Genomic DNA, 15339 nt, shown 5'->3' on the forward strand with positions numbered 1-15339 from the left:
ATACAAAATGTCAATACATTTAAATTTCCACTTGTTTAGCTGGAATAATGAGCCTTAAAATCTATGTGCCACCTTATTTAGACACATAGATTTAGGAGCACATGAAAGAAATTGAAATATAAAGTTGCTGTCCAAAAGCACCAACAACTTAGCATAAATTATTTTTGCTGTTACATAAAGAATGTTTTCCATTGTATATTGTAGATGCTATTATTTTAAGTAAGGACTCCTGGTGAAGTTAAAATATATACTCCACAAATATTTAATGTTTGGATAATTTGTCAGGAGTAGCCTTATTCCATAAAGTGGGGGCAAATTTGTATTGAAGTATCATGTAATTAGTTCCAAATTAAAATAACATCAAATATATATTGTTTATTTGTGTGAATTACTTCATGCATAAAGGGTTAGTCGTAGGAAATATTGAAAGCCAGATGCTCTAACAAGTTGTGACTAGGGAATCTTAAAACAGGTCATCACTTGGCCAGGAAGATTTGACATCTGACCTTTGATTTTTTTGGAAATATGTTGCTTATTCAGCAAGAATGTCAAGCCCTGAATAATCTAATATTAAGGAGCTTCTTTCTCCTTTTGTGCTTCTACAAAGCTGGTAGTTACTGTGACAAGATTCAGTACCAGGAATGCTTTTTTGAACAAAGAACCTGAGATTTTTTTTTTCTTGCCCTTATTCAGAATTAGCAAGTAAAGGGAAAGCAATGATTTATGATCAATTAATAAGATGGAACCCGAAGTCCTATGAAACAACCTTTGTTTTTTCACTTTGTGGGAATTGTAGGTCTAAAATGTTTTATGATTAGCTTCAAAGAACTAACATAAATATACTTTTGATGTTAAAAAGATAGTAAAGATCTATTTTAAGGAGTGTGATACTGTTGTAGAGAAAAGAAAAAGGCAAGGAATTGGGAATTAAACTGGTTAAAGTTAAACTAAGCACTAAATTTTGGTTTGAAAATAGATATCCAGATATTACTTTTATTTTACATAATGTAAACTCTTTGAGAACAATTTCCTGTTTAGCTAACACAGAGAGTTTTTGCTTTCGACACAGTGTTTACACGAGTGCCCGAAGTTACCGCTCTTGCAGTTTGTTAGACTCTAACTCAAACTGACATTAACTACATTGCTTGTTCACAATTAGGTTCCTTTGGTAGTTACATAGTTAACTACTTCTAATAGTTAAATGTAGGTAGACTCTATATATCTCTTTTCCTACAACCTAGGTATGAGTGGCATATTTATTTATTTATTTTAAAAATAATTTTCACTTTTATTTTAGATGCAGGCGGTACATAATGCAGGCTTGGTGACTGGAAATAGAGATAATTGAAGCTACTCTTGAAGGGCTTTTGAATAGTCTTCCAAATGCTAATTATCCTTAGTATAAGTATTCTGCTTATAGTTTGTATATTAAAGCTCATGCATATGTATATATTGCATTGCCTATGATGACCTATTTTGTGTAAAATAAACATTTTGCCCCAATATATCAATATGCTTCCTTGAAAACACCTTACATAGCCAAAATGACATGATATCACCTGACAAAATTATTAGTTTATTAGTATCATGTAATACTCACTCCATATTTAAATTTCTCCTATTTTTCCCTTTTCAGGTGGTTTAATCTGAACCAAGATCCAGTCTGAGTACATTTTGTTAAATCCCGTGAGTCTCTTCTATTCTTTGAAAGTACCTTTTATCATGACACCCTGACTTGCTGAAGTCCTCCCAGTTGTCCTTTAGAAGATCTTATGCTGTTTGATCCCTTTCTTGTGGTGATGTTTTATTTGTTTCTTCATCTCCAGTAATCTCTGTAATCTGGCAGTCAAATCTAAAGGTTATATTAAATTCAAGTTAAACATTTTTGTCAAAGTTAAAATCATAGGTGATGTCGTACACTTAACATTGCATCACATTGATGGTCATAAATGTCTGATTGTCCCACCAGTGGTGATATTAAATTTGGCCACAGGATCAAGGGAATAAAAGTCTGATTCTTCTATTGCAAAATTATGTTTCTCAGTTTGTGATCAAATTTTTTTGGCTAGAACTGTGAATTTTCAGGTCACCAACAGCCATTTATGTCATTTTATTTTAACACCAATTGATAAGAGTTGGCTGCATCGATAATCTAATCAGGGCAAATAGTTATATCTGTGATTCTTATCATTTATTTCACACTTATTAGTTAGCTTTCTTCATCATGTAGACTGCTTTTTCCTTCAACTGGGTCTATTTAATTTTCTAAATCACAATTCCTTCTAAAAAGGTGGAATACATGTTAATTCTTTCTTTTGTTTCTATAATTTGGAGGCAGTTCACTGAGCAGATATCTGTCTTCAGAACTCTAACTGACCCTGTCCAATGTGGCTGCTTTATAATACATATTCTATTAATTTTAAAAAATAATTCCCATTGTGCTTGTGCCAAAATGGCTATCCGGGAACAATTGTTATAGTGTATTTCATTTCTTATTTGTTTCTGGTTGTTATGTAAAATATCCTAAGCATTTGTAAATATACTAATCATTGTTCTTTTTTTATTCATTATATTTCCGTGTAAGGGTGTATTTGATTCACTTACTGTAATCTTTTCCTTCCAGGGTTTTCCCATGATATTCCATAATTTCCATTTCATCTTGATGATTTCATCTATAATATTTATTTGGTGCTGAGAAGGTTCCCACAAATTAGTCAGATTCCAATGCTGATATCCTGTTACTTTCCACCTGCTACCATAACCCTCTCCTTGGGTATCCAGACAGATTATGGCACTGTCTTGTAGCTGGTCCCAGAAACAATTTATATGGCCAATATTTGTTACAGGGTAAATACCAAGGATCCAGGACATCTGGCATGTCATAATCTTTAGAAAATTTTGATTAGTTGTAAGACTGTCTTAGATTTGACAATATCCGGATTTGTCATTATGGGGTCCCCCTAATTTGTCTTCTGGTGGTGTGCTGGAAGCTGAAATAACCTGATGCATTAATTAGGCCAGTATAACACATGAAATAGAGTGTGGTTTGGCAGACTAGGGCCTCTGTGAAAGAAAATTACCTTGCCATCCATGTTGAAGAATTTTATAATAAATTACAGACAATATATAACAAAACATTTATGAAAGTAGGGACCAGTGCTGAATCTCCAGAGTGAAGCCTCACATGTAACAGACTCAGAACAAATGCTGGTTGAATGAATTAATTTCAACTCACTCATCTGTGGGAATTAGAGATCCTTCAAAGAAATACACAGATGAGAGTTGAAAAAATTGTCTTGTTGAAGTCTCCTCCTTTTTTTTTTTTTTTTTTTTGAGACAGAGTCTCACTCTGTCACTCAGGCTGGAGTGCAGTGGTGTGATCTCTGCTCACTGCAACCTCCACCTCGCTGGTTCAAGCGATTCTCCTGCCCCAGCCTCCCGAGTAGCTGGGATTACAGGTGCCTGCCACCACACTCGGCTAATTTTTGTTTTTAGTAGAGACAGGATTTCATCATGTTGGCCAAGCTGGTCTCCAACTCCTGACCTCAAGTGATCCTCCCACCTTGGCCTCCCAAAGCGCTGGGATTGCAGGCATGAGCCACGTGCCCGGCTGAAACCTCTCTTAACTAAGAGTCTATATTGTCTTTTATTGGAAAGTGTGTCAAAGTTCTTTTGCCTTTCCTGAAGATGTTTATACCATAAAATTCTATCTGTTTCTTATCCTCTGACATTAGTTTGTTGCTGATATTATTACTAGATTTCAAGGTCACTTCAGAAATACTTGGTAGTAAAATAAAGGCTCTAATTAAAAAAAACTATTCTGTTATCGATCATGTCTTTGTTCTGTTGCCGATGTTTGCTTGTCTAAAAACTCAGAAACACATTTTTTCCTAATTGACTAGACATATTTAACCATGTATACTCACTAAAACTGGAGAAAATTGATGTATCAATCATAATGTCAATAAAACTTTGTCTGCCAAGTAGAGCATATTGAGTACTCAACATAGTTCTCCTCCCTTACCCCTACCCAAATCTGTTGAGTTGTCTTCATGAGCAGAGACTCAGGATAATTTAATAACTTGTGTCACTACAGTTGGCCCTTGGCATACTCATTTTCTTTTTTTAAAATTTTTTTGAGACTCACTCTGTCGCATAGGCTGAAGTGCAGTGGCTCAATCTCGGCTTACTGCAACCTCCGCTTCCTGGGTTCAAGTGGTTCTTGTGCCTCAGCCTCTGGAGTAGCTGGGACTACAGGTGCCTGCCACCACGGCCAGCTAATTTTTGTGTTTTTAGTAGAGACATGGGTCACCATGTTGGCCAGGCTGGCCTTGAACTCCTGACCCCAAGTGATCCGTCCTCCTCAGCCTCTCAAAGTGCTGGATTATAGGCATGAGCCACCATGCCTGCCCTGGCATACTCAGTTTCATAATGGTGGTTTAACTGTCAAATTAATAAAAAGTCCTATGCCCTGTCCTCCAGAAAGTGCTAGAAACCCAGCACCACTCAAATAAGGCTCTCCAAATTCTTCTTTCATAGATAACAAGAAGACCACTCCATGTTTGTCTATATATATATTTTTAAATAGAAATAGCTAACATCAATAAATTGATTGAATGTAAGCTTTCCAATTATGACATATGAATTTCCATATCTTTTATTTAGTTACCAGTTATTAATAGTTTGCCAAACTAGCTTTATCTCCTCTCTCTCATTTTTCTTTCTTTCCTTGTTAACACTTTGAATAATGAAGAAATTTTAACGCATTATAATTCACTATTATTATTATTATTTTGATGTCAAATTATCCCAAATTTGGCCAGAAGGAGCCTCTTCAGACCTGCTCTTTTATGTTTTTGGCATGATCATATTCATCCATTACATTTAATTCCTCTTGACTTCATGTCTTGGAAGATTTAAACTTTAGATTTGTTACTATTTTGATATTCCCTACATGCATCTCCTACAGATATAAATGACTTAGTTATTTGAAACAATTAGTTGGTCTCCTCTATATCTTCAGGACAAAATTTTTTAAAAAGACAAAATTTAATGTTTTTATATACCACGGCAAAGTGTGTAATTATTATTATCACCCACCATGCCTGGCCAATTTATGTCTTTTTAAGAAAAAATATTTCTATTAAGTTCAAAGACTAGCATTAGAGATGATAACAATAGAGTTTAGTTGGCTTTTGCTTCTTGGTATAACTTCATCTGCAATTTTTTGCTCAATACCGCTTTGTTCGTGTTCACTGTTTTATGAGATTTCTTGTGAATTTTAAAATTAGATAAAATTTCATATACCTTCAGAATTCTGAATCCAGTTGAATGTTTAAAAACAAATTAAAATGCCATAGGAACTTTCAGATGAACAATACAGCATTGTTCAGAAATGCTAAATACAGGACCTTTTCAAATAATTTTCCTGGTGAAAAAGTACTTCAATGTGCACACAATGCCCAATGCGTGCCTTTTTCATAGAATGGCTTGAAGTGTGTTACTTCTTAAGGAAGCTATTACTTCTTTATAGTCCTTTCAGAATATTTTCTATATTTGTTACTAATGTTTTAACTTTGAAATGCAGAAACATATATATTTACAGAACTCGGTTATTCTCATGTCATATTTGAAATTTTAAAATTTTTCATCCCGTGGGATGTTTATGTCATAAAGCAAGATTTAGCTAAAATATGCACAGTTATCCTTGAAGGCTTAATTATAATTTCCCAATATATCTAGGTAGTCTTTTGCTCCAAAATGATCCTGAGGGGTAAGAAAGTTTTATTTTTAGTCCCAGATCTTTCATTAGCCAGCTCTATTATTACCTTAGGTAAATTACTTGACTAATAATTCAGTCAATTTTTTTGATAAAAAAGAATCTGAAAATGTGCAATATATTGGAGAGTCAGTTCTTTGGGATTACTTTTTCTATATGCAAATCAGGAAAGTTTGACTAGGTAATTTCAAAATCATTCCCAATTTTAAATTTCTTTGACTCTCTGATAACAGATATAAAATTGTATTATCTGAAGAGAGTATTCAGAGAAGAAGCACTTTCTTTTATCTGCAAATTCATCTTTTGCTACAGGTGGAGATAAGAAGCAGTAGCTGGAATTACAGGGTGGATATAATATACTTCTGCTAGCTCTTTCCTTGTACATATTTTACAAATATAAAGTATTGCATATGAAGGACATTGCTATGCTGAATGGTACATCGTCTGCTTTACATGTAGAGAGGTGGATGGATGGAGATCAGGCAATAGTTCTTTTTTTCCCCTTCCGAAATTTTAAAATATGTTAGTGCTGGCTCACACTATTTTTTCACATGAGAAGATATTAGGACAAACATGTTCATCTGAGAGACATTGCTGCTTCTGTATCTCTAAATATCATCTTTCCAGTCCTATCTCTCTACCCTTGGGTTTAACCACATCCAATTATTTTCTAAGACATCATAAAAGATTCACTGCATTCATAACAATAGGCTGTCACTGGTTCATCTGCCTTCAAATATGTTATTGAAGAAAATTCATTCAGTTCAAAGATCAGTATTTCTTACAAACTTTCTGGAAAATATTCCCCAAAATGTTCTAACTTAGACATCCTCTTACTGCTGGCTTAATGATCAAAAGGTTTTAGAGAGCACGAAGCATTTTGAAGTTGAAGTGATTTAAATGCCTTTTCTGCCATATCCCTTGTTCTTGAATGTGTTCACTCACTGGCTGAATTTATAGAACCAATTTAGGAGAAGAACAATGTTTCTGCGTCCCCTAAGAAATTTCTCAAATTCCTTACAGTGACAATCAAAAGAAAATCTGATTTGCTCTTTGTGAGAGCATTTCTTATATACTCTCAGTAGCAGTAAAAGTTTTGATTGCTCTGGTTTCAAAAAGAAAATTAGAATTTTTTTTTATTTCTTCTCCCTTTAAAAGCATAGCTTCGTGCTCTGCAGTATGTACAAACACAATTAACTGCAGACAGAGGACCTAAGGTGTGAACTTTGTAATCAGACAGACCTGGGTTCAAACGTTAGCTCAAACATTTGCTAGCTCTATGATTGTAGGTATTGCTTTTAAGAAATCTGACCCTCGGTTTTTCATCTGTAAAATGAGACCCAATGTTTAATGTTGTAAGTTTTAAATGAGAAAATACATGCAATATACTTACAACAGTCCTTGGAGCATATGACATGCTCAGTAAACAATAGCTGGCTGCTAACCTTTTAATTTTATCTATTATTAACTGGCTGTTAACCTTTCAATTTTATTTCTAAAATTTGATGGCTATTTAAAAAACGTGACTAAAATATTAATATTGCTCTTCAAAGAAATGACCCATGATTTCTTGCTATCATTAAATGTTCAATGTTCCTATTCCCTCAGTAGGTTTATTCAAAGTAGGATCTAAACAAGGGCCACATTTGTCTTAACAGTTTTTCATCAGTAGGTTTCTGTCTTTCTTTTTTCTTTTTTAAAAACTGGTTTCTGTTTGTTTAAGAAAATACATAACTAATTCTGTAGCATTTCTCACATTCTTGTTTGTCTGGTTGTATCTGCCACAGTATTATGGAAAATATTAAATTAAAAAAATAAAAATTTAAAATTTAAATGAGGTAGTAATTTAGCAAGACCCAACCAGACTTTAAATTCTATGAGATTATGCTTTTTTCTTCTTTGCATCCTATGGGGCCTGAGGATACAGTGCTAGGCAAATAAGAAATACTTGTTGCTTGATCAATTATTCCTATAGTTTGAATATTTGTCCCCTCCAAAACTCCTGTTGAAATGTAATCTCCGTTGTGCAGTATTGGAGAGGTGGGGCCTTTAAGAGGTGACTGGGTGATAAGGGCCCTGCTCTCATGAATGGACTAATTCATTCATGGATTAATGGGTTAATGGATTAATGGGTTGTCATGGCAGTGGGACTGGTGGCTTTCTAAGAGGAGGAAGAGGGAATGAGCACCTCAGCACACTCAGCCCCTGTCCATGTGATGCCCCTCACCACCTCAAGTCTCTTCGGAGAGTCCCCATCAGCAGGAAGGCTCTCTCCAGATGTGGCCTCTCAACCTGGGACTTCTCAGCCTCCTTAAGAAATGCATTTATTTTCTTTATAAATTACCCAATTTCAGGTACTCTGTTATAAGCAACAGAAAACAGACTAATACAATTACTGAGAGAAATACCCCTGCATTTAACTAATATATATTAACATTTATATTAGAGATAAAGTAAGAATTAAGAGTTTCAAGGCCAGGCACGGTGGCTCATGCCTGTAATCCCAGCACTTTGGGAGGCCAAGGATTAGCCTGGCGTGGTGGCTGGTGCCTGTAGTCCCAGCTACTTGGGAGGATGAGTCAGAATTGCTTGAACCTGGGGGGCAGAGGTTGCCGTGAATCGAGATCATGCCACTGCACTCCAGTCTGGATAACAGAGCAAGACTCCATCTAAAAAAAAAAAAAAAAAAAAAAAGAGAGATTCAAAATTTGGTCTTGCTTTTGCCATCATTTTGCTATTTCACACTGAAAAAAAAATCATTAAATATTTCTAAGCTCCAGCTTGCCTGTCTTTTTTTTTTTGGTCTCATAGATTTGCCATGAGAATGAGAAAAGATATGAATGGTAATATAAATGCTAGTTAAATAATAACTGTTATTCTTGTTGAATAAAAATGCATAAATACTGATATTTATTTTTAACATCAGCAGTTAGATAAAGGACTAGATGGCCTTGCTGGTTGAAAAGACACTCTTATATTTTACAAATGGAAAATGATTTTTCCTACCTAGCTTCCATGTCTATCTTGGCCATTATTGTGCAGTTTTATATGCCACATTATAATTGGAGAATGAACATTTTCCTGATTTTTCTCACCAAGTGAGGATTCAGTTGCAATAATGATGATTGGCTTGTATGGCAAAATGAGACCAGAGACTTTGCCTTACGTACCCAGAACTCTTGATCAGGCCAGCTTCAGGGATCTTCTGAAAGAAGGGAGGACTCATCTCCACCCAAATAAGGCAATTGAGGAAGTATCAACTAATTTTTAACAAAGACTGTATTAATGGAATATCTATAGAAATAAATATACATGCATTTAAATACAAATGTCATTCCAAAAAATGCTGTTCCAATGAATACTAAATAAATTTGTAATAAGGGTCATTTGAAGTAAAAACAATGCCCTAATTTCAGTTTTAGCAAAGGCTCAATGAATGCATAGTGTCTAGGCACCTAATATGTTTAATGGTTTAAAAAACAGCTTTTAAATTCCATTTAGGACTCATTTAGATTCACAATTAAGATATGTGTTATAATACTCGGAAAACTACAGTGAATGACCAGGAACAGTGTAGTTGCAGAATTACAGGAATGTTGAACACACAAGGCAGACTCTGCACGTAGGTATAGCTGGAGGTTTGCATCTGCCTACTCTTTAGGTTTGGACATAAGGTCTTATTAGTAAAGGAATAACAAGGCATACCTGTATACACAAATGAACCAGAGCAGTGGTTCTCATCCTAGGGAAACTATTTAAAAAATAGTAGCCAGGCCTGGTGGCTCACGCCTGTAATCCCAGCACTTTGGGAGGCCGAGGCGGGCGGATCACCTGAGGTCAGGAGTTCGAGACCAGCCTCAATATGGAGAAACCCCGTCTCTACTAAAAATACAAAATTAGCTGGGCGTTGGTGATGCATGCCTGTAATCCGGGGGGCAGAGTTTGCAGTGAGCTGAGGTCATGCCACTGCACTCCAGTCTGGATGACAGAGCAAGACTCTGTCCAGCTACCCGGGAGGCTGAGGCAGGAGAATCGCTTGAACCTGGGAGGCGGAGGTTGCCGTGAGCCGAGATCGCGCCATTGCACTCCGGTCTGGGCAAAAAGAGCAAAACTCCGTCTCAAAAAAAAAAAAAAAAAAAAGTATTAATATTCAGTTTTAACCCAAGATGCATTACAACTCAGAATTTCTGGAGGTATGGCCTAACATTTATTGCTGTTAGTCAAAAAGTTGGAATTCTTTCCCTTTAATTTTATCCTCAGTTAAAAATGGAGATGGTGATAAAATTAATTTTTAAAAAGTATATTACACTTGAAAATTACAATAGGTCAGGAAGGAAGCAAAATGAGGTAACGGTTATTTTTGTGCCCTCTGTGAGCACAATTACAAACCCCAGACTGAACCATTGTTTAGGGTTTCAGCTCCTTGAAATGGTTTCTCTTCTCATCTAGAGATGACCTCCTTTCCAAGATTAGTGAACTTTAAAGACTGTGTAGAGAACTTAGGTTTTCTAAGAAGGGGTTTTTTTTTTTCTTCAGACCTCTTTTATATGTAAAATGTCTTAGGGAAGTCATTTAGGCAATCATCTGGTACAAAATATCAATGTTTTTGACATTTTTTTCCTCAGTAACTCTTGAGAGAGTTTTAGATGTGTAACCTGCTAGAAAAACAGATGTCTTTAGAAAATCTGTTTTTTTTCAAGAATGATTTATATCTGCGGATAGAAGAAAAATAAAGGTTATTTGTCTAACTTACTTCAAACTCTAAGTTGTGGTTTGTGGAAGTTAGACTATTTTACCATGTATCCTACAGCTTTGACTGTTTTGAGTCATTTATTGTACTGCCAGTATTAAAGTAAAAAGATGAATCAATTAATAAGAAAAATTTTTAAAGTTGTAAATTTTCAGAGTTGTGAGTTTTTGAAAAAACATGCAAATAAATCTTATTAGTTTTTTCTTTTGTTATTAAGTCATGATTCAATTACTCTTTGAAAACAATAATCATTTTTCCTTTATATTTCATTTACATTGTGTGCCCAATTATTTTTCATTATTGGTTAGACTTAACATAGTCTTTTGAAAGGAGAATAGATATTTCTCACTGTCCTTCCAGACTTATATTTTAATACATTTATGACTAAAATTAATCTTGTCCACACATTGGTGAGTTAATTCTCTTGATCTGCATGGCAGAAGGATAAGCACAAATTTGTCTGTTTCAAACTACTAAAAGCAGCTATAAAAAGCTACTAAAAGCAGCGTTTATTGAATGATCTGGATTCCGTAGTATACAATCAGAAAATAGCTTTATTTTTCCACCACTATATATCACACCTGAGTTTTGGACTTCCCCTTTCCCACTATTTGACAGCGTTTTTTAAACAGATCTCTTAGTTTGTCAGTCATTAACAGTGTTTATTTATTTACTTTTTTTTTTTTTTTTGAGATGGAGTCTTGCTCTATTGCCCAGGCTGGAGTCCAATGGTGGGATCTCGACACACTGCAACGTCTGCCTCCCGGGTTCAAAGTGATTCTCCTGCCTCAGCCTCCTGAGTAGCTGGGACTACAGGCATGCGCCACCATGCCCAGCTAATTTTTTGTATTTTTAGTAGAGACGCAGTTTCACCATGCTGGCCAGGCTGGTCTCACACTCCCGACGTCAGGTGATCCACCCCCTTTAGCCTCCCCAAGTGGTGGGATTACAGGCGTAAGCCACTGCGCCCAGCCAACAAGTGTTTAAAAGTCCATTCTAAGCCAGCATTCTAATCTTGCCTTCACTTTAAAGTTTTTTCACTTTAGGCTCGGCATGGACTCTGTTGTTTTTTTTTTGTTGTTGTTGTTGAGATGGAGTCTCGCTCTATCGCCCAGGCTGGAGTGCAGTGGTGTGATCTCACTCACTGCAACCTCCACCTCCCGGGTTCACACCGTTCTCCTGCCTCAGCCTCCAGCTGGACCCTGTTTTAGGAATTAGTGATGTAGGTGGAGACGGCGGAGGTGTTAACTCTTCTTTCTATCTCCTTAGTTCCAGCTCACTATGCTGTTCCTGGCTCTTCCAGCGTCCAGGTCGGGGGCAGGGGTGTGAAGAGAGGTAAAGGGGTTAAAAAGGAGGCAGTTAAACGGGGTTAAGATCATGAACTCTGGAGTGAGAGACGTGGGGTTGGAGGCCCTACCACCCACTAGCTTGGTCACCTTGGTTATGTGTCTCCACAGTGTCCCTTCCTCACAATACCAATAATGACTTTCAAAATAATGACTTACGGTTCTGACGATCATATAATTGATTTATGTAAAGCACTTACTCAGTAATTGTTAGGTGTTACTGGATATTTTTATGGGAGTAGTTATTACTGGGTATTATTCTTTTTTTTTTCTGGGGCTTTCTTTTCTTTCTTTCTTTCTTTCTTTCTTTCTTTCTTTCTTTCTTTCTTTCTTTTTCTTTCTTTCTCTCTCTCTCTCTCATCTCTCTCTCTCCCTCCCTCCCTGCCTCCCTTCCTTCCTTTTTTTTTTTTTTTTTTTGAGACGAACTCTTGCACTGTCGCCTAGGCTGGAGTGCAGTGGCACAATCTCGGCTCACTGCAACCTCTGCCTCTTGGATTCAAGCGATTCTTCTGCCTCAACCTCCCGAGTAGCTGGTATTATGGGCATGTGCCACCATGCCTGGCTAATTTTTTGTATTTTTAGTAGAGATGGGGCTTCACCATGTTGGCCAGGCTGGTCTCGAACTCCTGACCTCAAGTGACCCACCTGCCTCGGCCTCCCAAAGTGCTGGGATTACAGGCATGAGCCACTGTGTCTAGCCTGGGGCTGTTTTACCAATGCCGATTACTCTTTACCTTGGCAGGTGTCCATCACTAGTTCTCTTGTGGGATGATTTTGTGTGTTCTCTGCCTTCCTCTCCACCCACAGGGATCTTTGCACTGTAGTTTCCTGGTGTTTGTAATGCTCTTACTGGCTGATGCTTTCCAATCTCCCTACCTCAGTTCTTACTCTGCTAGACTCATGCAGTTTTCTTCCCAGAGCAGGCAGAATGATGGAAAATGGGAAAATTCGTGCATCTAGGGCCAGCTAAACGCTGGAGGTGTAGGCCATTTTGCCTGTCAGTCTCTGTCCTTGCCCTACCATTATGGGCTGTTCCAGCGGTCTCTTGCTTACAGATTCCTTTAGAGTCCCAGTCTGTCTCTTCATGCGTGGAGAAATAACTGAGACATGTCAGAGCTTCCCCAAATACTCTCATCAATTTGCCTACATAGTTTTGCCACTCAGCAAACTTCCACCTAAGGAGTGAACTATCTCTTGGAGAAAACTTTCATCTCTGAGTGGTCCTCTTAGGGTCCCCTTTCCTTGGCTTGCTTTTAGGGAAACACACCCCTGTCCTCTCGTGTAGGTGAAGGGAGACACCATGGTATTCTCTTCCTTGATTCATTTCAAAGACTCCCCCTCTTCAATGAATCTCTAACCTTCTTCTAAGTAGTCACTGTTTACATTTGCAAGGTTATATTTTATTAGACAAGAGGTATACCAAAGGAATAATTTACAAGTAATTTGTGGATTGTAATTGTTGTGTGGCAATATGGATTTCTGATTCCCCTCCCCTCATCTCCCCACCACATGTCTCATGTGAAGACTGACTCCTGTTGAGAGCAAGTAAACAGAGCTGTGGCGAATTTGACTCAAAAAGGAGACAGATATTCTTCAGTACAATAAAGTGCAAACGATATACTAATATGTGTTGATTTTGATAGTATGAAGAAGCTAATGGCCCTATACCGAAAAGGTAAAAGACTGACCTAAATGAAGATTTTTTTCTCTTCTCTCTTCTGCCTTCAGCAACTGAAAATCTCTGCAACAACTTGGCAATGGAATGTGAAGGAGCTGAACAAGGAAGGACCAGATGACTGACTCATGGGGTTTGGTTGAAGGAGATGAGGGCAAGGAGAAAAGGGATATGAAGAGGGTTGTAGAGGTTGTGGGAGGAAGGAGATAGAAAAGGCCTTTGGCAAAGATATTTTTCTGCCTACATTTATGTTGGCCATATGGGGATGCCATAAATATCTTGAACACTGGAGGAGCTAGGTGTGGCACCAGACATCAAGATGGCCCTCAAGAATTCTAGCCTCCTGGTATTCATGTTCTTATATAGTCTCCTCCAACACTGAAAAGGGCTGACCTGTGTAACTAATAGGATATTGTGGAAATGATGGAGTTTGTCTTCTGAGGCTAGATCATGAAAGACATGTGGTCCTTGGACCACTTAATCATGAAGAAGACAGCTGCCATGTTGTGAGGACTCTCAAGCAGCTCTGTGGAGAGGTCCATAGGTAAGGAACTGAGAACCCCCTCCAAGTGAGCAATCTTGGAGGTATATCCTTTCCTCTCAGTCAAGCCTTCAGATGACTACAGCCTGGGCTGGTATCTTGACTGCAACCTTATGAGAAACCCTGAGCCAACACCAGCTAAGATTCTCCTGAATTCCTCACCCTAAGAAACTGAGATAATAAATCTGTGTTGGTTTAAGCCACGTGTATTGAGATAACTAATTATGTGGCAATAGAAAACTAATACACTAAGAGATGAATTAAATAGAGAATCCACTCCAAGATTCCACTGTTCTGTGGATTATATAGAGGTTGAACATGTTGCTCCAATCTAAGCTATTTGTTTATTCTTTTAAATTCTGTGTGTCTGCTTGACTGGCCCACAAGACTCTAGGATTATCAAGTATACTACCCTACCCTTCCATAATAAAAGGTGTAGGCTGGGTGAGGTGGCTTATGCTGGTAATCCCAGTGCTTTGGAAGGCTGAGGTGGGAGGATCACTTGAGGCCACGAGTTCAAGATCAGCCTGGGCAACATAGTGAGGCCAGGAGATCAAGACCAGCCTGGGTGACGGAGTCAGACTCTGTCTCTAGAAGTAAGCAAATAGGTAGTTAAATAAATAAATAAAATAAAGGGTGTGGTGTTTGGGTTACAATTTTAAATGCTGAAATTTAAGAAATTAAGAAATATACAATGAAATGATATAACTCATTAACAGTTATTATTTGCATATAAAAGTAAATACAGTTGTGAGAGACTGAATACTATGAATAAAATCACATGGTGTGCACCTGTCACAGTCATCAGTTTCACATGTTCCTGCTGAAAATAGTTGAACTCTTAGTTCCTCAATACCATTGACCTTTTCTTTTTTGAAAAAAAAAAAAAATAAATCTATTTCTACTGTAATTTGCTATCACATATTGTGTCCTTCCCCTTTTAAAAACAATGTTATTTCTGTCTCTTTTTATAATAGAATATTCTAAAATCTTCTGTTTGTATTCTACATTGCAGCTTCATTTCAAATCCAAATCCTTACAATTGGCATTGCTTAGCAAATTAACAATGATATACTTCGGTAGATATCTTGTTATGCTTTCTATTGTTTTATGTAACAATTTGGCAATTGCATAAATAGACATGTATCAATGATTCTAATAATTGAAATGGCATTTCCAGTTCCCCTTTAAGTGGAGGAAAACCTATTAAAATTAATTCATTTTAAAAAACCCCACTGTCGCAAGGCA

General features: G+C 37.0%; 1 long non-coding RNA gene across 1 annotated transcript; it reads left to right on the plus strand.

The window, feature by feature from the left end:
- The first annotated feature begins 1455 nt into the window (after positions 1-1455).
- LOC107986436 (uncharacterized) lies at positions 1456-15001 on the plus strand. The gene is made up of 2 exons (XR_001742822.1): positions 1456-1686; positions 13604-15001. It is a non-coding gene; the product is annotated as an uncharacterized LOC107986436 (long non-coding RNA).
- The last annotated feature ends 338 nt before the right edge of the window (positions 15002-15339 follow it).

This window comes from Homo sapiens, chromosome 5 (genome assembly GCF_000001405.40).
Source record: "Homo sapiens chromosome 5, GRCh38.p14 Primary Assembly".
Lineage (NCBI taxonomy): Eukaryota > Metazoa > Chordata > Mammalia > Primates > Hominidae > Homo > Homo sapiens.